Genomic DNA, 26,428 nt, shown 5'->3' on the forward strand with positions numbered 1-26,428 from the left:
AGAGAATAGTCTACTAAGTGTCTAAGAAAACCGTAAGGTCAAATCAGCTATAAACCTGGCCTTTAAAATGCCTTACATGTAGGCCAGGAGTCGTGGCTTATGCCTATAATCCCAGCACTTAGGGAGGCAGAGACTGGAGGATGGCTTGAGCCCAGAAGTTTGAGACCTGCCTGGGCAACATAGCAAGACCTCGTTGTCCACAAAAAGGAAAAACAAACAAACAAAACCAAAAACAAAACAAAATCCTTAAGTATGAATGAGCCCTCAGGACTCCAAACTTATACCAGCAGGAAATGCGCTGTGAAAACTGTGAAGTCTCTGGAGGGCTTACTTCCTAGTTGCACTTCAGATATGGTCATGGAGAATAATGAACAAGGAAGAATATTCCAGAGTGTGGAGCCAAGGGCCACAGAAATAAATGCAAAGTGGTGTTCATCCTTGAGAGCAGAACCAGGATGTAATCATAGAACTTCCTCCACTGCCAAGGTGAAGGATCGTCACAGTAACTACCCAGAAGGATTCTGCCATTTATGTATGAACTCTGTTGTGAGTCTCATATTTTTCACTAAATTTAGGGTTTTAAGGCAGCGTATCTATGTAGAAACACTTGGGAATCACTGTTATGGGAGAGAGTGGAGGGATGCACAGGCAATGATCACAGTCAACATTTAATAGTGTTCCGGGCTGGGCATGGTGGCTCATACCTGTAATCCCAGCACTTTGGGAGGCTGAGGCGAGCAGATCACCAGAGGTCAGGAGTTTGAAACCAGCCTGCCAACATGGCGAAACCCCGTCTCTACTAAAAATACAAAAAATTAGCCAGGCGTGGTGGCGGGCACCTGTAATCCCAGCTACTCAGGAGGCTGAGGCAGGAGAATCGCTTGAACCTGGGAGGCAGAGGTTGCAGTGAACCGAGTTCATGCCACTACACTCCAGCCTGGGCAACAAGAGCAAAACTCTGTCTCAAAAAAAAAAAAAAAAAAAAAAAAAAAAAAAAAAGTGTTTCAGGCACTAATGCATCTTCTTTTTTTTTTTTTCTTTTTGAGACATAGTCTCACTCTGTCACCAGGCTGGAGTCAGGATTCAAAACTATGGGACCTTTTTTCAGAATGTTCACTCTGAACCCTATCATCTTTTATAATTATGGAGGTCTACTGGGCATGCTGAGGGACATAGAAATCCCAAAGGGAAGACAAGGCAGAAACACAAATTCAGGACACAGGAGTGTGAAATCTTTTTTTTTTTTTTTGAGTCGGAATTTTGTTCTTGTTGCCCAGGCTGGGGGTGCAATGGCGCAATTTGGCTCACTCCAACCTCCGCCTCCAGGATTCAAGCGATTCTCCTGCCTCAGCCTCCCAAGTAGCTGAGAATACAGGTGTGTGCCACCAACACCTAGCTAATTTTGCATTTTTAGTAGAGATGGGGTTTCACCATGTTGGTCAGGCTGGTCTCGAACTCCTGACCTCAAGTGTTCCACCTGCCTTGGCCTCCAAAGGGCTGGGATTACAGGCGTGAGACACTGTACCCGGCTGGGAGTTTGTTATCTAATGAAGATGGCATTGAACTCTTTTCAATCTACCAGGATATATAGATTACTCTCACTTTTACCCTTGTTAGGGACTTGCCTTGTTTACTGACAAATCACCACTACTACTGATATATTGTGCCGTCTAACTCACATTAGGTGCTCAATATCTGTTGAATGGATGAAGAATGAATACCAGAGTCCTGTAATATTAGACTATGGTCCTTGAGTGACTGCCAGATTTGCTTTCACATTTCTAGGGTCTAGTGTACCTGGCACTCAACAAATGGTCCTTGCACTAAGAGAGAAAACTGCACTGGTGGTTTTACTTTAAAGCGGCTCCTTGTTCAGTGTCCTTATCTTTAAATTGGAAGGTGTTTTGCTTCTGCCCAACCCCCACACACTCTACAGACCTTGTGATGGGTTGAGTTTTTCAAAAGATTCTCACCTGCTTTAACTTCTATGAGCTTAGTTTATATTCACCAGGTGAACTTAAAATTTCAGTTTCTACAGCACTGTCTTTTCCACGTGTATGGCCAGTTCTCATGATGAGTTTACTAAGTGACTTTGGATTCTTTTAGCTATTGCTAATCATCTGCACCTTTCTGTTGTAGTTATTTTAAAGCCCGCCCGCGCGCGCGCGCGCACACACACACACACACACACACACACACACACTCTTGAGTCAGGGTCTCTGTCACCCAGGCTAAAAGCGCTGGGACTACAGACATGAGCCACCGCGTGGGGCCAAAAACATACGGATTTTATTTACTAAACCTGTATTGTGTGCATGACCCAGAATTGTGGGAGTACAGCAATGACTGAGAAAGCCGTGTTTCCCACCTTCGTGGCACATAACAATGTTTCTATGGGTTTTTAAAGGCCCAACAACAGGGATTCAATTATAAAATAAAAATATTTCGGTACAAAACATGATTTAAAAAAAGACAACTATGTCTTCCGAGTGGAGGAGGGAAAGGACAATCAAACCTCGAACAAATCGTTTATCTTGCTAGTCACAGCTTAGCTATGCCTTGTTATTTTCCGGTGATTCCAAACTTCCAGTCCATTCCCTCTGCATGGATCAAAAGTGACAGGAAAGAAAAAAATGTATTTCGGATATGGCAAAAAAGAAAAATGCAAGACAAGCAAACAAAAGTACTGGGACATCGTATGAGAACTAGTTTAATTGACAATGTCTTTAAATGGTACCTATCACTTGACAATGATTCCAACCCACCCGGGCCTGGGCGCCGCGGCTGCCTCCCCACTCCCACGCACACGGGGAGCTCCCCCGGGCTGTACTGCACTAAAGGCACTCAAAATACATCAGCCTTTCCTTACCTCGATTCTTCCACCACATCCAGCATGGAGCTGCTGCTTCCAGAGATGTAGTCGCCTATCTGTGGCAACAATTAGTTTTAAAAATGGAGCCGCATCTCTAATAACAAAAGCCTCCAGCTGTGAAAAGTGGAGCTAAATCTCTCTACCGGGCCGCAGCATCTCTCAAGAACCTTTTCCCCGCAGCACCCGTCAAGGCCCAGGGCCAGCTGGACGCGGCTGCCCTGGGGTGGAGCCGTCCCCGTGGTCCCGGGAGGCTACCGACGAGCCGGGGCCCGGGGCCGGAGGGCGTGCTCCTCCGGGAGGTGCAAAAGTCGGCTTGGGCCCGGAGCTCCCGGGTTTGTTTGGTTTTGTCCGCGCCCTGCCCCCACCCTACCCCCTTCATGCAAAAGGCCAAGGGTTTCCGAGCCACCACTGCCCAGGCCGAGTTCACGCTTGGGGCTCTTCAGCCGCCGTCCAGTGAACAGAGAAAGCAATTGCGCAGAGGCGAGAGCAGGCTGAATGAACGCGGGCTCCAGGGGAAATAATTTTTCCTCCTGGCTTCGCGCGTCAGCACACTGGGGTGCAGCCCTCCCTCACAGAAGACCCCCCCCCCGCACGACCCCCTGTACACCCCCGCGGGGCTGCGCGTTCGTCTGTGCGGCGGGGTTTGGGAATGGAGGCGTGAGGACCGCGCATCGAGGGCTCCACAGGCTGGGCGGGGGGCGTCGTTGGAGGGGGGTAGGGGAGAAATGCGCGCCCACCACCCTCACAGAGGGCGAGGGACCCCCAAAAGCCACTCGCGGACGCCGAGGCAGCGGGAAGGCGCGAGGCGGGGCGGGGGGAGGGGGCGCGGGGGTCCCCGCTGCGGAGGCCAGGGCGGGCGGGAGGGGCAGCACCTGAGGAATCCGCCTCCGGCTGCGGCGGCCGCCGCCTCGCTCCGCCCCGGGGAACTGAGCGCGCGGACCGCGCGCCTGCCAGAGAGACGCCAGCCGCCGGCGGCGCTAGCACCTCGGAGTCGGGCGGCCGGAGCAGCGGAGCGCAGCGCGGCGCAGGGAACGGCACTGGGGGTGGGGAGACCAGCCCGGCCGAGCCGAGGGCCACCCCCTGGTCCTCTGCCCTCGCGCCCCGCTAGGGCCAGGTGAGCGGCCGCGGGGACTCCGGGGCGCGGGCAGGAGGTGAGAGGTCGCGAACCGGGCGCGGGAGCTCGCCTGTGACCGGCAGGAGCTGCCCTTTGGCGGGCTGGACGCCCTGGCCGCGCGGGGAAGCGCCGCAGCGGACTTTTCCGGAGGGATGGGAAGCTCAGCGGGGGTGTGAGCGGAGCGCGTGCGGGTGGCGAGGGAGCGCCAGTGCCAACCTGGGAGCCGTGCCTGCCTTCCCTGCCGCCTCGCGTCGCCCACCGAAGGGACCCGGCCGTGCTGTCCGCGCCCAGAGGCCGAAGGCCTGTCACCGGGCTCTACTCGCTGCCTTTGTGGCGGGAGCGAGACGGCCCGGGGGTGGGACGAGGGAGCTGCGGCGCGCCGAGTAGCGCGGGGTCCCCCGGCGGAGGCGGCGAGGGGGCACCTGGTTCGTCTCCCCGAGCCCAGGGGCAGTGAGGGGGTGCCGGGCAGGCGGGCGGGCGACAGGTAGGGCGCCGCGGAGGTGGCGGGGAGAGGATGGATGGAGTTCAGCCTGGGAAAGTTGAGAACGTCCAGAGGTGGCTGGGCGCTCGCTCGGCGTCTGTGGGTTTTTTTCCTCAACACCAAATGTCACTTCGTCACGAGCGGGCGCGCGTGTCTTCCGGCCAGCATGTCCATTTTTCTGTGCATGGCTGAGGACCACTCTTATTCCGAATGAGACACAAAGAGTTGTGTTGACAGCTGACCCTGACACAAGCAGACAGCGAGTGAGGTGCGCCCTGGCCGGGGAGGGTGAGGGAGACTCGTTAAAGGAAATCCATTCCCGCCGTCCCTCTTCCCAGCTCCATTAAGAGGAAACTCCATGTGGAGATTCAGTGCGTGGGGTTTCTCAGTTACATGAGTCCAAGGAACGTCCCCGAACGCGACTCGTTTGCCCGGAACTGCCGCTGCCTCTAACCGAGGCTGCGGGTCCTGGAGAAACTCCTCAGTCTTGCCCCTTTCTCCGGTGAACGTGACGGTTCCAAGGTCCTTATCCTCCCCACCCACTCCTCTGGCCCCGGCTGAGAGGATAGAAACCACATTTTAATTTCTGCTTTTCACACCGTAAGGTGTTTTTTTCCGCCTCCCCCCGCCTCGAGGCGGGAATCCCTGCTTAAATCACATTTTTAAACCTAGCCGTTTAAATACAGGGAAGAGCTTTCCCACAAAAGGTTTTTGAACTCAGTCCCCCTTAATAAAACCTCTCATTCATCTATATATGTTCTTAGACTTTAAATCCTGGAACTCTGCTTTGAGTGTTGTGACTGTGTTGTTTCTTCTCTTTGCTGAAATTTTCTAGGAGGTTTTGTGAATGATACTGAAAAATTATTTAAAAGAGAAAAAATTAAATTGTTGAAATATTTAGTAATACAGTTACATGCATATAGGTATGTATTTCAAGAGGAAAATGTTTAATGAATGAATATATAAGTAGGGTAAACATTTCAAACAACAGTGAAGAGTATACAGTGTAAATTAAGCCCTCTTTCCTCTCCTCCATACAAGCCTTCATCCTTCTCAGAGGCAGCCACTGTTGTATATTTTTTGTATATCTTTCCGTAAGTCTATTAAAATGGAATTACATTATAGATGATGAAAGGGATTGAATATAAGACTGAACTATATATTCGTGGTGATGACCATTAACTTGATACCCACTCATGATGACATGAGATTATTTAGCCAAATGTGGACAATTATTACCTTGAAGATCAGTTAGAGGGCTAAAAATCTTAGAACAGTATGCAGTGGAAAGCAAAACTATTAAACTAATATCTCCTCCTGCACACACACCAGTTTCCCTACACTGGTTTTTGCAATCTTTATTGAATTTTTCCTCCATTTTGGAATTCTTTATGAAGTAGAGAATGAGAACTGTAGTAGTTTACTTTGTCTACCGCAGTGTGTATCTGAAAACACTGAAAGGGCGTGTGTATACTCCCATTGACATGACATAATATAAAGATGTTAGTGGTAAAGGATAAATACGAAGGCCGAGTTTCAGATGTTTGGTTGCATCTCTTAATTCTAGGCCTGGATTTGCCACAAACCCGCCACACGACGTAACTTTTTTTTGGAAAACTTTGTTTCCCACTCAGTTAGATAAAGGAATTGAACTATGTGATTTTTAAGGGTCCTTCGAACTCCAGAGTTCTACGATTAAAATAGTTGTCCTAAAACTGGCTAAAGATAACCATTGGACTGTGGATGTTAGACAGTGGGGCGACAAAAAACATTCCTGAATGGTGGATTCATGAAGAGGAGGTTAGAGATGTTTAAACTATATCCCTGCTCTTACGAGTTTGATGTCATTGGAGAACAGCTACTCTCCTTACCCACAGAATGTGTGTTTATGTTGCTGATAGAGGCCAAACACCGGGCTGAGGGCCTCTCATGTCACCTTGTGTGGCTAAGGAGAGTGAATTCTCCTCGCAGCCCACAGTGTCATTTTTAGGAAAATTACTCTTACCAAACTCTTCTTTTTGGTAAAGTGGAAATTAACTTTACCTACTTGAAAGAGACTTGACATAATTTAATTTATACTTCTCTGAAGTGTTTAGATTATGAACATCCCTTATAGCTAAGATATTTTAGTTACTTGATAAATATTCACCTAGGGAGTATGTTCTTATTAGGAAACTTCTAATTTGTAAAGTACCTGCAGCCTTTGGGCTAATGATGGGGACAGGAGTTAAGGAGTGATTGTAAGGTTGTGAAAGTAAAAATTAGCTGATTTTAGTGACTGCGTATGGTCTAAATTAAGGGATTTCAAAGGTACACTGTAAGCGATGATTGCAAAAAGTGTTGATGTTAAGATAGAGATCTCATACTGAAAGCTAAAGCTTTCTAAAAGCACCGCTGATGAAACATATGTAATTATTTTGAATAAGTCTAATATAAATTATAAATTCGCTGTAGGAATTGTTTGGGATCCTAAGAATAAGAACTAGAAGAATATATTTGTAAGGGTACTTAGAGTAATATTGATTGATTAATGAAGCTGACAGAAACAAAAGAAAATTCAATACCAGTAGTGAAATTCTTCAAAATGGTAATGGTTTTTATTTTTTCCAGCTCCCTTCCCAATCTTGCCATATGAATGAATATTTTTACAAATGTTTTATATTGCAGATAATTTTCACCCTGTTTTTTATAAACATTTTTTCTATAGCTTACTTCCCATTATTTACAATAATTTTATAAAAGTTTATGCAATGGATGTTCATTATTAACTTAAGCCTTCCTGTTTTTGATTTTGCAGCATAAAAAATGTAATGCCTATTCTTTTTTTGTTTTGTTTTGTTTTGTTTTGTTTTGTTTTGTTTGAGACGAAGTCTTGCTTTGCCACCCAGGCTGGAGTGCAGTGGTGCGATCTCCACTCACTGCAAGCTCCGCCTTCCGGGTTCACGCCATTCTCCTGCCTCAGCCTCCCTAGCAGCTGTGACTACAGGCGCCTGCCACCACGCCTGGCTAATTTTTTGTATTTTTAGTAGAGATGGGGTTTCACTGTGTTGCAGGATGGTCTCGATCTCATCGATCTCGACCTCGTGATCTGCCCGCCTCAGCCTCCCAAAGTGCTGGGATTACAGGCGTGAGCCACCATGCCTGGCCTATAATGCCTATTCTTATACATGTAACTTTATTTCTTTTCTTTTCTTCTTTTTCCCTTAACTTCCTTAGGATCTTTTTTTTCTTGAGGGATAGTATAATGTAGTTGTAAATGGGTGGGTTCTAAAATTAGAGGTTGTGGGTTTAAACCTAGCTCTAGTACTCATTGGCAATATTGGACAAGTAATTTATTTTCTCAGAACTTTAGCTTACTAAGATGTAAAATGGGTTATATTAATAGTTCTTTAAAGTTAAGATAAAAAGCAATAACACATGAAACACATAAATGTTAGCTCTTATTTTTATTAGGAAATTTCTAGATTTACAGTAATTTCCACATTACTTTCTAAAAGGACTATATAAATTTATACTGTCATTAACAATCTATGTGTGTGCTTATGTTATCTTAAAACATATTATTGTTACTAATTTAATCAGTGTAACATTTTATACCTTTCTTTTGCTTTGCATTTCTTTAGTCTTATACAAAGTGAGGGATAGTTTTTTCCGCCATATTGCTATAGTTTTCCAAACTGAGTGATGGAAATTTCATTACCTCAGTCATTTTGAGCTGTACCATAAGCTAGACATATAGGGGTGGTCAGTTACACCACTAATGAATAGTGAACCAAATTTTCCAATAGACTTTTTTCAAACTAATTGTAGTTTTCTTGTATTTTCAGTCTATGGTAATATTTATTAGCTATTATTATTATTTAACTCTTAGAAAAGTAGCTGTTAACTAAGATATAAACGATATTTAAGTGAAAATGCAATCTTCCTTGAAGAGCTGATTTGTGGTTAGTATTGTGATCACAGTTTGCTGGAATTTTACTAGGAATGCTTCTCAAAACTTGAGGAAAAATCAGAGAGAAAATTTATGATCTCCAATCATGTTATCTTTTGGCTACAAATGGATAATGAAGTTATGCCCACTGACTTGAGTTCTTATATAGTCAAGGTAATTTAGACTACAAAAAGCATGCCCTTGTGAGTTCTGGAGTTCCAGCATCCCTGATATTTTTGGCAAATATACACCCAACATGGATAACAGCAGCTCTTTGTGCTGTTGAGCCCCAGGAGGGCTCCCTATTGTGTACACTTTCTTCCCTCCCATTCTTGACTGGTGACAGCAACTCCTTCAAGTCCAGATGTGGAGTCCCACAGTGACTCTTCTCTTCTACCCAACTCTGTATTTGCCCCTACCACCCCACCCTTCAGTGCAGTTGTTTTTGACCTGCCTATGATGTAGAGAATTCACTATCTTTTCAAGGTTGTGGTTTCAGATTTTATTTTTATTTTTCCCTATGCTTTATGAGTATCTTCAGCAGTCCCTACAGTAGGGACTGTAGCCATGTTAGCATAGATTAACACATAATCACTTGATAAATGTTTGTTGCTGTGAACTATATCTTGTATTGTCTTCTCTGTTCCTGGTCATAGTTCTGTTTTTATGGTGCCAGTCTGCAGAAGCAAGCACCAGTTGTGTCCTGTATTCCCGTGTTTGCCTATATTACCAAGGTTAGGAGTTAGGAGGAGACCTGCTTGTTACGGCTCTTCCAACTTTTTGTGTGCTTAGGAGACTTTCTTAACTCCTGTGCTTTACTTTTCTTCTGTAAAATGAGATTAACAATTACTGCTCTAATTACCAACCTTCTGGATAGGTTTATTTTGAAGATAAAATGAAATAATAAATGTAGACATATTTTAGAAAAAAGGATCTACAAATTCGTATTATGTTGTCAAAATTACATAATGTCACTACCCTTCTAGGAGTGTCCATATCTTTGAGAAAACCTCATCTTGATGTAGAGTTGCACTTAGAGCTTGAGGTTACATGCAGATTCTTGGGGTCCACTCTGACCTGTTGAATCAGAAATTCTGGGGATAAGGCCTACCAATCTGCATTTTAACAACCCTTCTGATACTGAAGCACTGTTCTAGGGAGTAAGAAACCTCAGCGCCCACTAAAAAAGTATTCTCCTAATAGTTAAATATTAGTTATAAAATAATCCAGAAATATCATAAATCATTTTTGCATGCTAACCATGGAATGAAAATTAGCTATTATTAGCTGCTATTTGTCTTTTAATCTCTCTAAATTTAATTCAGGTAGGAATTGTAAACTCAGATGTGTGGAGGGGCCAAGCAGTAAACCTGAGTTGTGAAGCAAGACACTTGTAAAGTAATAGAGGTGATGAGTTCTGGTGGACAAGAAAGTCTGAGGGTGGCAGAGTTTCTAAGGCTCCACTGATTGTTGCCTTTTGGGGTTGTGGGCCACTGTTGCTAGGCCATTTGATTTTTCAGGTGAAGCTAGAAATTCACATTTTTATGTGAATTTAAATGTTGGCAATACATTTTAAAGAAAACACATGGACCTAATAATCTGGAAGCCAGATAACTTCCAACCCCTGAGTTAAATAATATGGGTGAACATATTTGCATTTGAATGAGTGTGATGACAGAAGAAACAATCCCATTCAACATTATTAATAATCAAAGAAATGTATATTAAAATCACACAGACACTTTTTAACTTTCAGATTACAAAGATTCAATAGATTGATAAAATCTAATGTTGGCAATTGGATAAATAAATGGTTGTTCTTATACTAAGACTGATGGCAAATGATTACAACTTTTCTGGGGAGTAATTTGGCATTATGTTTCAAGACTTTAAATGTCTATACCTGCCTTGTCCAATATGGTAGCCTCTAGCCACATGTGGCTATTTAAATGTAAATTAGTTAACATTATATACAACCAAAGATTCAGTCTCTCAGTTATACTGGTTACATTTCAAGCACTCAATAGCTGCTCATGGCTGGTGGCTGCCATGTTGGACTGTGTAGATATAGAACATTTCCATCACTGGAGAAAGTTCTGTTGGACAGTGCTGGTCTAAACTCTTTGATTTGGAAATTTCCCTTTTTGGAATTTGTTAGAAAAAAACAATTAGACAAATGCACAAAGGCATATAGCAAAAATATCACTTGAAACATTATTTATAAAAGTAAAAACATTAGAAACCACCTAAACACCATGTTATTAAAAATCAAGTTGTAGTAAATATCTATGAAAATAGTGTTACATATGTCGTGAAACTATTTCTATTGTAGAATCTTTTTTTTTTTATTTAGGTAGATAACTTAGTTACAAGGGGTTTGGGGATCACTTTTTCTCTTGTCACAAACGCACATGAGTATGACAGAGCTTTCCCTTTTTAGCCTACAGCTCTTATAGTAGGATGGGTTGACTTTCACTAAAACATGAGCAGAGGCACTTGAGAACTCTCTAAATAACATCCGTATCAGCTGGATTCTTGTTAGATATTCAAAATCTCAGGCCCCATCCCGAGCTTACTGAATCAGAATCTCTGGCAGGACCCAGGAATCTTTATTAACAAACTGTCTGCTTACTAGTGGTATCTGCCTTCTATCACTGAATTGCTCAAGCTTCAGTTGTTTTATCTTGGCCAAGTTAAATCTGACCTCTGTCCAGGTACTGTTGTTAAGTGCTGGGGATGCTGCAGGGAAGAAAAGTGAGAGATATCTGGCCGGGTGTGGTGGCTCATGCCTGTAATCTCAGCACTTTGGGAGACCAAGGTCGGTGGATCACCTGAGGTCAGGAGTTTGAGACCAGCCTGGCCAACATGGTGAAACCCTGTCTCTACTAAAAAAAAAAATACAAAATTAGCCAGGCATCGTGGTGTATGCCTGTAATCCCAGCTACTTGGGAGGCTGAGGCAGGAGAATCATTTGAACTCCGGAGGCGGAAGTTGCGGTGAGCTGAGATTGCGCCATTGCACTCCAGCCTGGCAACAAGAGCAAAACTCTGTCTTTAAAAAAAAAAAAAAAAGTGACAAATATCTCTGTTCTCAGGAGAATCAAACAATGAACAAAAGAAATTGAGGAAAATATGATGTTTTTTAGGTAGTGAGAAGTGCCAGAGAGAAAAGTAGAGCAGAAAGGGGAATTAGAAAGTAAGCTGGAGGTTGCAATTTTCTACGGGTGTCATTGAGAAGTGACTTGAGTGAAGACACAAAGAGGTGAGGGACTGAGCCACTGGAAAGGTTAGGGGAAGAGGGTTTCAGCTTGTTGTTAGAGGGGCAACTAGGAGGCCTGGGAGCAGATGGGGAGAGGTAAGCGAGGGAGCGAGTGGGGGATTAGGTCAGAGAGGTAATCTAGATCTTTTTACTTCAAATTCTTTGTTCTCTCTAGTGCACCACACTCTCAGATTCTTTGGTTAATCAGTTTGTAAAGAGATCAAACATCCTGAAATTCACTGTTCTTTAGCGTGATCTGTCAATTCCTCCTGCCACATTTGCCTGGGGTGCTTGTTAAATACGGATTATTGATCACTAGACCCACTAATAAGAATTTCTAGGGTGGGACCCATGAATGTGCATTTAAAAAAAATGTTCTGCCATAGTCTGAGGATGAATGTGCATTTTAAGTGTCTTCCCAGGTGGTTTTTATGGACATAAGTCTTAGAACTACTACTCAAATGTATCATTCTGTAATTTTAGTTATTTTTAGAGCAGATGCACTTGAAGTTGTCACCTCTGCCTGTATAGGTTAGTGTGAAGAGAAGATGTAATTGGTATAATATCTCTCTGTATTTTTAAACCAATTTAAATGGACACTAATATAAGTTAACATGTATATCTGTTTGGGGTATTCAGGGAACTCTGAGTCTGTTACCATAACTTGTATCCACATCAGAGGGTGGGGGAACCTTTTCACTTGAGAGTTCTGCCTCTCACCCATACAGTCTGTTCTATTTTTTGGAAAGGGCACATTTATATCTCTTTGGTTTTTTTCTCATGTTTTCTTTCTTTTCCTCTTGTTTCCTTTCTTCTTCCTTTTCTCTCCTTGAAATCTAACCACGCTAAGTCAAACATCATCAACATTTTGGTAGCCATTCTTTTATGCATCTCCATGCATATTTATATATAATCAATATTAATAATCTTACATGAATAGGATCATATTATGCTTTTTAAAAAACTTGTAGGCCAGGCACAGTGGCTCATGTCTGTAATCCTAGTGCTTTGGGAGGCCAAAGTGGGAGGAAGAGCACTTGAAGCCAGGAGTTCGAGACTAGCCTGGGCAATGTAATGAGGCTCTATCTCTAAAAACAAACAAACAAACGAAAACTGTAGTTACTTCTTTTTTAAAAATTTGAGGGCTGTCTTTTCCCTTTCCCCTTTCTTTTCACTCCAACAATGTCACTCATCTATTTATGTTGTTACAACTTTTTCCATGATCATGTACCCTTATATATATTTTAGTACTGTATATGTGCTATCATATCTTTCTAATTTTCACCTAATATTCAATAAAACACAAGGAACATAACTCTAAGTTAACTGGTATAGCTTGTCTTTATTCTTTTAAATTATTATACAATATCCTATAAAAATAATCTATAGCATCTGTATTCCACAGTTAAACAACCATTACTTCATTGAAGGGCATTTATTTAAGCCAAACAAGAAACAAGAGGTATATATTAAAAGATAGACATATGATAACACAATTTAAAAACATTTTTGTAAAGCAAGAACCATAAATAAATGCCATAGACATATGATAGATTGGGGAAAAAAATCTGTACCATATGCAAATAAAAGATTATCATCTCGGCTGGGCACGGTGGCTCACACCTGCAATCTCAGCACTTTGGAAGGCCAAGGTGGGCAGATCACAAGGTCAGGAGTACAAGACTAGCCTGACCAACATGGTGAAACCCAGTCTGTACTAAAAATACAAAGATTAGCTGGGCATGGTGGCGCATGCCTGTAATCCCAGCTACTCAGGAGGCTGAGGCAGGAGAATCGCTTGAACCGAGGAGGCAGAGGTTGCAGTGAGCTGGGATTGTGCCAGTGCACTCTAGCCTGGGAGGCAGAGTGAGACTCCATCTCAAAAAAAAAAAAAAAAAAGGATTACCATCTCTAGTTTATAAGGAACTCTTATAAAATGGTAATAAAATATTTTATGAAACATAATTTTAAAGTATTTTGCAAACATTGTCACTAGCTATTCACAGAACCACTATTCCAAATGGTCAATAAGTATGAAAAATGCTTAGCCTTATTAGTTGTTTAGAAATGCAAGTTACAAATAATAGTAAACTATCACTTGATACCTACTTGATATTACTATAGAACTTTAATCAACATTAAAATTTCCAGAAGTAGTTTATTTGTTCTTTGAAAAATCTGTGCAGAAACATTTGTTTTGAAAGTTATATTAGTCCGGGTGCAGTGGCTTATGCCTGTAATCCCAGCACTTTGGGAGGCTGAGGTGGATGGATCACCTGAGGTCGGGAGTTCGAGACCAGCCTAACCAACATGGAGAAACCCCGTCTCCACTAAAAATACAAAACTAGCCTGGTATGGTGGCGCATGCCTGTAATCCCAGCTACTCGGGAGGCTGAGGCAACAAAATCGCTTGAACCAGGGAGGCGGAGGTTGCGGTGAGCCGAGATCGCACCATTGCACTCCAGCCTGGGCAACAAGAGTGAAACTCCATCTGAAAAAAAAAAAAAAAAAAAGTTAAAAGTGGCCGGGCACAGTGGCTCAAGCTTGTAATCCTAGCACTTTGGGAGGCCGAGGTGGGTGGATCACCTGAGATCAGGAGTTCAAAACCAGCCTGGCCAACATGGCAAAACCCTGTCTCTACTAAAAATACAAAAATTAGCTGGGCGTCATGGCGGGTGCCTGTAATCCCAGCTACTCAGGAGGCTGAGGCATGAGAATCGCTTGAACCCGGGAGGCGGAGGTTGCAGTGAGCACCACTGCACTCCAGCCTGGGTGACAGAGTGAGACTGTCCCTCCCCACCCCCCAAAAAAGAAAGTTTTATTAAAGCTATAAAACATAATTTCCCAGGGTTTCCTGTTTGCTCAGATAATTTGAGGGAGATTGACTTTTATTTTATTTCAGTCTTAGCTCATAAGCCAAATTATGAGAACAGAGCTTAGAAAATTTAATTTTGATATCAGTTGCCCATTTGTATTCAAAAGGGTTTCCTTCTGTTTTAAGACAGAGCTTTGTTGGATTTTAGAGCCATAGATCAATCTACCCTGAGAGGAAAACACTGCAGGGTTTACTTGACTTGCCCAAGATCACTAAACTAGTCCTGCATGTTTTCTGGTTTACCATATTGTTTCACAGTGCCTTCTTATACTTGTAATTGCAGCTAATATAGAGAAAACATATTTCAAGAATTTTTTTTTTTTTTTTTTTTTGAGATGGAGTCTTGCTCTGTCGCCCAGGCTGGAATGCAATGGCACGATCTCGGTTCACCGCAACCTCCACCTACCGGGTTCAAGTGATTCTAATCCCAGCCTCCTTAGTAGCTGGGATTACAGGCATGTGCCACCATGCCTGGCTAATTTTTGTATTTTTAGTAGAGTTGAGGTTTCACCGTGTTGGCCAGGCTGGCCTCGAACTCCTGACCTCAGGTGATCCACCCGCCTTGGCCTCCCAGAGTGCTGGAATTATAGGTGTGAGCCACCGTGCTCACTTATTTCAAGGATTTTTTCTCATTTTCAAAAACCGAATATACCACATTTAGAGAAATTAAATGTAATGTGTTTAGATTTTAAATAGAAATAGTAGCATGTGAGAATGATATTAACAAATCAGAAAAAGAAACATTACTTGTAATTCTACCGTCCTTACAAAGTGAACTGTTATTGCAGTTCTGCTTCAAGTATTTATCTCTATGCATTAATGATTTTACATACTGCTAATATGATTTCCCTAATATTTCCCAAATCTTTTGGTAACTTTGACTTCCAGGCTTTTTTTTTTTTTTTTTTTCCCCTTAGAGTTAGGATCTTTCTGTGTCACCTAGGCTGGAGTGCAGTGGCACAATCATAGCTCACTGCAGCCTCGAACTCCTGGGCTCAAAGGATCCTCCTGCCTCAGCCTTCAGAGTAGCTGGGACTACAGGTGTGTACCACTATGCCTGGTTAATTTCAAAAACTTTCTGTGGAGATAGGGTGTCACTTTGCTGTCCAGGCTTTCAGGCATATTTTTTTTTTTTTTTTTTTTTTTTTTGCTAGAGAGTCTCGCTCTGTCTCCCAGGCTGGAGTGCAGTGGTACGATCTTGACTCATTGCAGCTTCCACCTCCCGGGTTCAAGCGATTCTCCTGTCTCAGCCTCCCGAATAGCTGGGATTACAGGCACACTTCATCACACCCAGCTAATTTTTGTATTTTTAGTACAGACAGGGTTTCACCATGTTGGCCAGGCTGGTCTCGAACTCCTTTCCTCAGGTGATCAGCCCACCTGGGCCTCCCAAAATGCTGGATTACACACATGAGCCACCATGCCCAGCCGCTTTTGGGCTTTTTAAGCTGGTCTGCATGACTCTACTTTCTGTTTTTCACGCGTATCATTTTTAATCCTTGAACATTGTTTTGTATCATTCTACAAATGATCAAATGTCTTTTATAGGTACCAGTTGCCTCCCTTAGCGTTTCCCAAAGGGTGGGAAACGCTTAAACATTAACACCCCAGTCTTACACTGTCAGCTGCATGTAAAAAAAGCACAAAAAACTAAAGGTATTAAACAGTAATGAGTTGGTTATATCACCAACATTTCTCAGGGTGGCAGGAAGGGCACTGCAATTCTTGGGTTAATTTGGGTGCTTGACAATGTCCTCAAGAACCAAGATTCTTTTGGTCATTCTCCGCCATCCTCAGCTTGTTGGTGTTTGTCTTCCAGCTTGTCTTTTCACTATCCCAAGATATTTGCAGCACACACGACTCATACCCTCACACAGCTTTGACTGGAGTCAGAAAAAGGCTCTTTATGTTCAGGCTAAATGCTTTTAAAAGAATTTACCTACACACATTGATGTCCCAAATCTTAGTGAGACTTCACTGTATGGTCATGCGTCAGCCAGTCACTGACAAGGAAAATGGGATTACCATAACTGATGTAGAATATTCAAGATTTACTCCAGAGCCTGGGAAAGGGTCTATTTTTTGAGGTAAGCATGTACAAACTGTGGGGTTAATATTGAAAAAGATCAGGAAATGGCTTGATTAGGCAACCAGCAGTGTGTGCTATAAAATTGAATTTACTTAGTTCCCTTCAAGGCTCTTCATAATCTGACCCCATGATAATTTAATATAAAACCTCTATTCTAGACAAGCCAATCAGTTGTCTTTCCTGCCTATCTATCCTGCTCATGTGCATTCCTACCTGTACCTTGATATACATTATTTCACTTTCTTAGAAAGTTCTCCCTGTTTATTAGAGCTAATGTGGCTGTTTTAATTAAAATTTAAAATTTAATTCCTTAGGCACACAAGTCCCACTTCAGTAGCCCTGTGACTAAGCGGCTACTGTATTGGATAATGAAGGAACGGAACATTTCCATAATCACAGGAAGTTCTGACGGAAAGCACTGCTCTAGAAATTCTTACAAAGCATACCTATTATTTACACAGTGTTTGTCAAACTATGGACCACCTAGATGAGAATCAGCTGTTTGAGATGCTGTTTAAATGCAGATTCTGAGCCCTAGGAATAGGCCCTGAGCCACTTTCATGCCCAATAAAGATGAAGAACACTGCTTTGAGATCTAGTTTTGTTTCTTTTATGGAAATATACTGACCACTGGAGTTTTCATTAATTTTCTCCTTCTCTAGACTTCTATAGCATTCATAGTTTATATATAAAGTTTTAGAATTTCTTTACAATATTAATATTCTCTAATTGTCTCAGAAAGTATTCTTCCTGAATATTAGAGTATAAGCTTTTTAAGAGGAGGTACTATGGCATATTATCACTTGTATTTTCCAAAACATCGAATATAAAATAGGGTGCATAGTAAATATGAAGTATTGACTGCTTAATTACATTCTACAGAATTGTCAATCTATAGTATATTCACTTGGCAGTTCTTTGAAAATCATAATACTGTCTGCAATATTGAATATGGATGATAGAGTATTTCTGTAATTTTTTTTCTTAATTTTATTTGTTGGAAATAAACCTGAAAATCTTGGTTATATTTCTAACAAGTAGTATATGAGGATGTTCCCCATAATAAATTAGCATCATTTTAAAAAATGGCTATTTTAAAGTGCCCTGATCTTTTGATTCTCTTTGTGGAACATAAACTAGTCAAACTTCTGAAGCCATAGTTGACAAAGCAACTTTCTGTTGCAAATGAACTCCCCTCTTGAACCAGGGTTCTTCTCCAGATTAACTAGAGAATTCAGGTAGCTGTTCTGGCTGCTCTACTTTGATGATTTAATAATGGCCTGAAAATCGCTGGAGCAGGAGGTTAAGATCTTGGCAACATTAGAGAATAGTTAGGTGTACATTTTCACAAGTTGGAGCACAGTGAATGATCAAGGTGGAATAGTAATAGGGTAGTCATGACTAGCAGCAACTCACTTAGTTCTAAGGTGAGGAATATTTCTCTTTGTGCATAATTTCACAGACTGTATCATTCCCCAGGGTGATGTGAAAACAACTACATTCTCTGGTAGGCTCATTACCTTTTGGTACAAAAATCAATCTAATCTATTAAGAATAAAATCTCTATTGAACAAATAACTACCTTCCTGAGACTCTTGATATTTTTTACTCTGAGACAGTTGCCACATAATTTGATTCCAAAACAGGTCACATTTCTGAGATAATGAATCAATGCTGCCAAGCATGATGGCTGGTACAAAATAGACTCCCAGTCACGCCTGTAATCCCAGCACTTTGGGAGGCCGAGGCAGGCAGATCACTTGAGGTCAGGAGATCGAGACTAGCCTGGCTAACATGGTGAAACCCCATCTCTACAAAAATATAAAAATTAGCTGGGTTTGTTGGTACACGCCTATAATCCTAGCTACTCAAGAGGCTGAGGCAGGAGGATTGTTTGAACCCGGGAGGTGGCGGTTGCAGTGAGCCGAGATCATGCCACTGCACTCCAGCCTGGGTGACAGAGTGAGACTCCGTCTCAAAAAAAAAAAAAAAAAAAAAGACTCTCAGGAAATGTTAGTTATTTTTCCTCATTAGACTTGTTGAATTTGAATGACAAGTCTCAGACTTATTAGAGAGTAGCAATTAGTTGCTACTATGCCCGGCTAATTTTTTGTATTTTTAGTAGAGACGAGATTTCACCGTGTTAGCCAGGATGGTCTCGATCTCAACTGACCTGGTGATCCGCCCGCCTCGGCTTCCCAAAGTGCTGGGATTACAGGCATGAGCCACTGTGCCCAGCCGCAATTAAAACGCTTAGTTTTAAGCGTTTGCCTCTGAATTAAAAATGTTACTAGGTTCTTTTCTGGAAAAATTAGAACATGTAAAAATAACCTTTCCCCCCCTTGTTCATTTTAATGGAGCAATAAAATACTAACTGTGGTATTTTTTACAGTATTGTTGGTCAAAAATTGTATCAGAATTGTTTCATATCAGTAGGTATTAAATGGACCATTTGCATAATCTACTGAAGATCTTTTAGAGTCTGTAAATGTGTGTCTGGTTATGGTATTTCAGGTATTCTAAATATTTGAGGTTTTATGCCATCATAAAGACCTCTGAGCCAGTGGTATGCATTATCTCAACTTCTGCCTCCAGAGTAGGAACTGTGATGGAACAGTGTAACACATGGCATAGTTGCATATCTGGAATTTCAAAGGGAGCATATGTATGTCAGAGTATGTGTGTATGCACAAAACACAGCTTTTGATTTAAAAAACTGCCATAAAGGTCTTCTCTGCTTAGTCTTCTGCTGTTTATTGATTTAATTAATAGCAGAAATTAATAATTTAATTCAACAATATTATTAAAAATGTACCCCACCTCACACATTGTGCACATATCATTTCTAATCCTCACAACAGCCCTGTAAAGTAGGCATCATTATTCTCACCTTTACAGCTGAGATAACTAAGACTCAGATAAGGCTTAGGTAAATTTCACAAGAGCCTTCAGGTACTAAGTGTAAAGTCAGAATTCAAATCTCAGTCTGGCTGATTTAAAACTTTTGTTCCTGCCTCTGTGTCATACTCTTGGGTACCTGTTTTGTGATTCAACTAGATTATAAGATTGGGATGTCAGGAATTGCATCTTACAATGTGTTATATTACCCAGAAAGGTAACTTGTGGCAAATGTTGCTGTTCTTGCTGAAGGTGCTATAGGTAGCTGCCGAGGGACATTTTAGCCTTTGCACATACCACTAGGGGACCATTTAGTGCCATATTTTTGGGTAACAGGCTGTACAAGGCTCAATTTTGGTTGGCAAGGAATGGTGCCAGTGGGAGTCAGATCTTGTTTATTCACCAGACTGCAAGTGCTTTGTCCCTTTTGCTCACTGTTCTATCCCCAGCACCTAAGACCAAGCACATAGTTGCCCCCTCAATAAATATTTGTTAATGACAAATAATAGTAGCAGGTCTGTAGGAACTGTTAGCTTTCTTCCATGGCTATGTATTACATCCTTAACCTAGGCCAAACTTCCTTCTGATCTAAGCCACTGACTACACAGGAGTTGGGGCAAGGGAGGGTAATGGAACAACATAAGCTTATTACGTTGACTGGAAATACCAACACAAGACCCATGCCCTTTGGAAGCTAGTTCAGTAGCATTATCTTTTAAATAAAGGATGGTAATGAGGAAAAATAAATTCAAAACAATTCTGTGGCAGAGGTGAAGGGAGATACATTTCATTTCCCTTTTGTTTTTGAATTACACAAAATGATGATGTGTTTATAATCCTTCGTGCGTGTTCAATTGATCATCAAATTTACTTACTTACAAATGTACCTATATAATTTAAGTAATATGGGCTTTAAATTTGCCAACAAATATCCTAGTTAATAAAAAATAGTCTAAGCCGTGTATTTCCAGGATAATACTGCATAGTGGAATAGAGCCATGGAATTGATAGTCTGGAAAAAAGTGTTTTGAAAAATGTGACATTTCCTGTACAGTATAGATGTTACAATTCATATTGCTTATTAGATTTTAAATGGACAAGACGTCCAAAATCAAAACAGTGTGGGCTTATTTTAGATACTGTTGCATGGGAGATTACCAGACATCTGTATGGTGTTTACCCTTGGAAAGCTAAAGTTCACATATTGCAAACAGACACCATAATTCTATCCTAGATTAAGGTTTGTTTAACCTGTACTGATTTTTAAAAAGGATTTGAAGTAATAATTGGCAGCAATAATTATCAAACTGTCTCTCAGTTTTCATTTGGGTAAAAGGAATGATTTCATGAAATACATTTGTCACTTCTTTAAAAATAATTTTCTCATAATTTTTCTACTGTGCAAGAGGTGTTTATTCAGTGGGGATAATAGAATACACCAATGGGCAGGAAATTAACAATAAGTAAGCTAATAAGTCTTTTTTAAGCACCTATAATTGGAAGGGATGCTGTGGAGAGAGAGAGGAAAATGAAGAGCTGTCCCTGCCCTTGGGGAAACTGACAGTCTAGTTAAAACACAGTAATGTGACTTGTGGTTTTCTAGATTCAGATCTCATTTTATTCAAACCATGTTCCTCAAACCATTACTAATATAGGAAAATATTTATATAACATAATATGTAAAGGTGTTTTTTGTCCTGTTTCCCAATACCTAAATTACAAAAGAATTCAATTGAACTTATATCAAATGGAATTTTATGCCCATTTAATTTTTTAAAAACTAGAAGATGTTTTTAACTTGTTCATGAGGCATCGAACGTATTATAAAATTTGAAATGGTATTGGTGATGTTAAGAAAATCATGGTATGATCCTTAAGTTGTTAGTGACACTTCATGGATATTAAGGTACCTATAAATAATACTAAAACTGTGGCATTCCTTTTTTTTCATGGTGGGGGTATGAATTTGACCACTGTTCAACTCATATCCTTTTTTTTTGTCTTATTGAGCAGAAACTAACTTTAGTTAGTATACCGCTTTTGAGATGTTCTTTATATAGAAATTTAAGGCATGAGAAATTATCATTTAGAAAGAAAATGAATGAAAGCTCATTTGGACCTTCAGACTATGTTTAAAGCACATTGTACACGATTAATTAGTACATAACTATTCTACTGATGTAGATTATATTGAGAAATAAATATTTGAAACATAGATCTTAAAGCATTTTCTTATAAATTCACTTTTTAGAAATTTGGATTTTCAGCAATTTTATATCACTGAAAGCTGTGTGTACTCTAATTTGGTCCTTGATATATTTCTCATCATGAGCAGTATTAAAAAACAATAGACAAAATATTTACCATAAGTATGTTATTTTTAAATACATTTCCTTTTAATTGAATGAAATTAAATTTTCTACCTGATTTGTGGACCATCAGAGAAAAGAAGATACATATTAAGGAGGGAAAAAAAGGAAAGAGACTGAAAGATTAATTAGAACTTATTCCTTGTACAATAATATTTTAGCTTTAAACTGTTAGTCCTTTATATTAGGATCCACTAAAAATCTTAAGTTAGCCTGCTAAATTTTAGCTCCTCACAGTAGCTGGTTTTCCAGAGACTTAACATGCAAAGGACCATTTGTTCCGAGTTGACTTTTGTTAGTAGTAATTCTGTTTTGTCTTAGGTGTTTAGAAATACTTTTCCCTTAACTCTTATATTTAAAGCATTAACATATAAATCTAATTAAAAATAGTTGTATGACTGATTAAAAATAGTTGTATAGTCACAATTTTCTTTCTCCTAAGAATTAGAGATTTAAATCTCTGAAAACATTAATGTGTGTGGGGTGGTTATGATAGTCCAGCTGCCATTGTGTGTGTTTCATTTAAATGTAAATTTATCTTAGAGACTCTAAAGTTGAGCTCAGAAGGTAGAGAATTTTAATTTGAATAGTCATTTTCTTTTTTTCATGAATACTAAAATCGGTTTTATACTAAAGAAAGAAAACCTATTAAACAGCCAATACTCAATTACCTCGTTTTAAAGTTTCTAGTATGATACTGAGTATTATTTTTTAGTTCTATGTAAAGGAAAACAGTAGTGTTTTATAGAGAAATCAGGCTGTGGAAATACATTTCTAATAATTAAATCTGAGCTGTGAAAAAGCTTGCTAACATTAGCAGAAACACATTGACCTATGTATGACACACACATATCTATATACTATGTAAATATTTAGACTATATATATATTTTTCCAACACACAGTTGCTGGCTTGAATATATTCTTCACCACTGATTAAAATTTAGTCTTACACTTAGTCTGATACTGTAATTATAAATAAACTTCCAGGAGCAATTCTTGAGGACAAGTTTTTAAGGAAGCTTCTGCTTACCGCTATTCTCTTTAAAACAGGTCAAGATTTGAAGCTCTGTAATTTTGCTTTATTTCATAGTTGTTGTTGGGATTGTGTCAGCTACCATGAATGTTCTCTTAAGCAAGGTTACCTTCTGTTGCTTTTAGCAGCCTTTTCAACTTCCCTACAATAAAATAGGCCATTTGTGTGAGTTGCTGTTGATTGCATATTTTCAAGTCATTTTTGTCTTTAGTCATTTCATTACCAGCCTGTGATTATCTTGTGTTAAAAAAACAAACAAGTAGGCAGAAAACCTCCTTGATCTACCCTAACCTTTCTATATGTAAATTTTGGAAAAGCGACACTGTAGCATGCCAATAAAATTTACTCCTGCATTGACATTTCCAAAGTAATTATAAAAAGGATTATAAAATTTACTAAAGGAATTGCTATTTGTTGGTTGACAAAATTTACTTAAGCCACATAAATGTAAATATTTCTCAAGCAACCCCTATAGAGTCAAGGGTTGCCATCAAAGAAAAGACTTTTGTTTATTCTAAATACCTTTATTTTATTTTAATTTTTTATTTTCTAAATACCTTTATTTTATAAAGCTAGGAAAAGTAAAAGTGTTTTGAACATTTTGAGGTCTTAGATTTTTACTTATGCCATTCTTTAATATACATGTTTCCATGATTTAAGTATGACATAATTCTGTATGATTTGCTTTAAATTAATAGTTATTGGTTAGAATTTAAAATTGAGTTTTATAGTAACCAGTAAGGATGCAAATTGTGTATTTATAGCAGTATACTAATTTACAGATTCTATGACACACGGTCAGACACACTGGTTTTTATGAAAATCCACTAGCATTTTTCTCCTGTTTACTCCGTGATTCCAGAATAATATGTAGGGGTGATTTCCTTGAGAACAGGAGTTATTGGCATCATTCTTAGGGGTAGTAACTACCTCTCCTTTCAAACACAGATCTTTTTTTTTGCTCCTTCTCCAACTTCCTTGCCATTCCTCTTAACTTCTGAGGCTTGGAGAAAGTGAACTTTAAAAACTAGAATTCTTTCTCTGTTTTGAATGACAGACCTTATGGGGTTACTTATGTGGTTGGGCTTTTCCCATCCCAGATGGAGTATGTGAATACTTTATAAAATTTTTTATAAGATTACGTGCTTAGAGATACTTTTGCTCCGTTACACTTCTGCTTTCCCAAACAGTTGTTTCTGTTATTTCACACAGAAAGCAATGTTCTACCTCATTTGGATCAAAGCCCAGTTAGTTTAAGACAGATATTTTGTAACAAAAATTTTATGTTTCTTAACATGATTTGGAAGTTAGTATTAATCATTATTCTAATTACTTGTATTAGTAGTTTGTCATTGTAATTGTACAAAGTGTTTCTAGGTTACAAAACCTAGAAGTTCTTAGCAAGGCGGTGGGCCAGTGATATCAACCCATGGAAATGGCCATGATAAAGCAGTTTTCTCTGGGTTCATTTCTAGTTTGTGTCATGGTTTGAGAAAAACAGTAGATGAGAACAAGTTAGTATGAATATTTTTAATCATTTCGTCTGCTAAAACTTCATGCCATGCCTAAGAAACGATGGGCTTACAGGGGTATTTTCAAGAATTGCTTTATAGATCTTCCTCATTAAACATTTTATAAGGACATTCTGCTTTAACAAATTACATGGTGTTGAGGTGGGGAGTATATGTAATTGTAAAAGGTTTATACCCCACATGCAGATTATTACCTGGTGACTGAAAGTGCTGCCTGCATCTTTTTTTGCAGTGCCAGGGAAGGTGGGGGATGGGGAGAATGAAACTTGAATCAGTGGCCATCTGGCCCAGATTTGGCTGATTTCCTGTGCACTGCCCTTTGTTTCAGCCAGACAATGGATTGTTCCTTGAAAAGATAAGAACTCCATTGATGACTTTGTGCTGAATCAGCACGTTTGGTTTGGGATTGCAAGCACAGACTCATATTGAAGGGTTTTCACTTGTTGGTAGGTCACTATCCTTGTCTTCGTCCATTACAAAAATAGCCTTAAGGTTGTTTTCTGTAGTTTCTGTGCTGAGATTACAGAAAAATTGAATAAAATAATTGGACATGTAGTTTTCTAGTTGTGTATTACCTGTCTTAAACATTGAAATCTCCTTGTCTTTAGTTTCCAGAATTCATATCTCCCTGGTTGTGATTTTTGATAAATCTTTATATAGAATCTTTTCTTAAGTCTCAACTTGAATTTTCCATTTGAATTTTCAATGACTTAAGTTTAATGTTGTCCTAAATCTAAGTTAGACTTTTATGATATGGTTATGTAAATGGTAAATTTTCTGTGATATCTGTTGTCATATATCTGCAAATTACATTTTAGGGTGGTAGAGCTACTCCTTACTTTAAATGCTACCTACTCACTGTGACACTGTTTAATAAATGGTTATTGACTAGAGAAGTAGGGATCTCTGTCACCTAGCATTCTAAGTCAGTCAGTCATCAGTTTTTGTAGGTTATCTCAGAAGCAATAGAGATCAGAGAGTAGTTAAGTGTCATTTTTCATAAGACAAGAACAACCTTCACTGCTACCATTTTGTTGTATGACCAAGAAATACAAAAACAATCATTTTCACTTCTGAAGTTATAGGAAGATTGTTGGCAGATTTTGTCTACCTTTTAGTTTAATTCTCATCTCTTTACAGTTGAATTGCCTTGTGACTCCCCAGTGCAGAATTTTCTCTGAAACCACTGATAACTTCAAAATCAAGCATCTGATCAAAATAAACTGCTTTGAGATCTAACCTATAATTCATTTGTGTAGATAAAGGTATGTTGTTTAGGTAGAATCAAAGGGCCTGATCACAAGAAAAAAGCTTAATTGTTAGTTCCTTAGGGATCTAATTATGTAGCAGATGGGACCACACAGCACAGTTTGCTGTTATTTAGTGTAATTAATTTTAGATCTGCATCCAGAAAAAAAAAAAACGATGACAACAAATGACACAAAATCTTAGTTTGCATCCATATAGGGCACTATCCACTTATAATTGTTGTTCCTCTTCTCTTTTGGATCACTTTAATCTACTCCTTACTCTATTCGATGCTAATAAGGTCTCAGAATTGCTTATTTGCTTTAAATGCATGAGTAGTTTGGATACACTGATATTAAGGGTGTCATGGATGTTCATTGGAATAGAATACTCGGATTTAGAGGATTGGTTAATTAAACTGTAAAATAAGCCAGAGTTAAAAGCTACAACAACAACAAGACCAAGACAAGTTCTACTTTAGTTTCCCCCTGCTTTAATCCGAAACTAGTTCAGGGGACTAGTTCGAGGTAGAGGGGAAGGTCTTATCCTTTCTCCCCCTCCCCCCCTCCTGGTCACCCTTCACCCCCGCCCCACGCCCCCCAACCTCTGACTCTCCTTCAAATCTCACTGAGGAATTATAGTCTCTACAGAGGCTTGGTTGCAGATGCCTGGAAAGTTTACACTGCAGAGAGTTGTTTTGTTTGGCATAGCTAATCAGGAGCCAGG

General features: G+C 39.9%; 1 protein-coding gene and 1 long non-coding RNA gene across 27 annotated transcripts in view, besides 1 other annotated feature; one reads left to right on the plus strand and one right to left on the minus strand.

Annotated features, from left to right (window-relative positions):
- Positions 1 to 2,267: 2,267 nt before the first annotated feature.
- On the minus strand, positions 2,268 to 4,321 carry GREB1L-DT (GREB1L divergent transcript). Of its 3 annotated transcripts, none has more exons than NR_183513.1 (3): positions 4,203 to 4,321; positions 2,870 to 2,928; positions 2,268 to 2,600 (listed from the first exon to the last, which is right to left on the minus strand). It is a non-coding gene; the product is annotated as a GREB1L divergent transcript (long non-coding RNA). The 3 variants fall into 3 exon arrangements; NR_183512.1 differs by lacking the exon at positions 4,203 to 4,321 and adding an exon at positions 3,745 to 3,823; NR_183515.1 differs by lacking the exon at positions 4,203 to 4,321 and having other exon boundaries at positions 2,870 to 3,187.
- The window catches only part of GREB1L (GREB1 like retinoic acid receptor coactivator), a 283,881-nt gene continuing 261,277 nt past the window's right edge, over positions 3,825 to 26,428 (plus strand). For all 24 annotated transcript variants that reach the window (XM_006722547.4, XM_011526179.4, NM_001410867.1 and 21 more), the window contains exon 1: positions 3,825 to 3,986. The gene's annotated coding sequence lies outside the window, so the exon portion shown is untranslated. The remainder of the gene's footprint in view (positions 3,987 to 26,428) is intronic.
- Positions 24,519 to 25,046: an enhancer, noted in NCBI's record as "OCT4-NANOG hESC enhancer chr18:18842887-18843414 (GRCh37/hg19 assembly coordinates)". NCBI's record gives its function as "activates a minimal SCP1, AML or CMV promoter by ChIP-STARR-seq in naive and primed H9 embryonic stem cells {active_cell/tissue: H9 hESC(naive and primed)}" and the evidence as "EXISTENCE:reporter gene assay evidence [ECO:0000049][PMID:30033119]".

Source organism: Homo sapiens, chromosome 18 (assembly GCF_000001405.40).
Source record: "Homo sapiens chromosome 18, GRCh38.p14 Primary Assembly".
Taxonomy (NCBI): domain Eukaryota; kingdom Metazoa; phylum Chordata; class Mammalia; order Primates; family Hominidae; genus Homo; species Homo sapiens.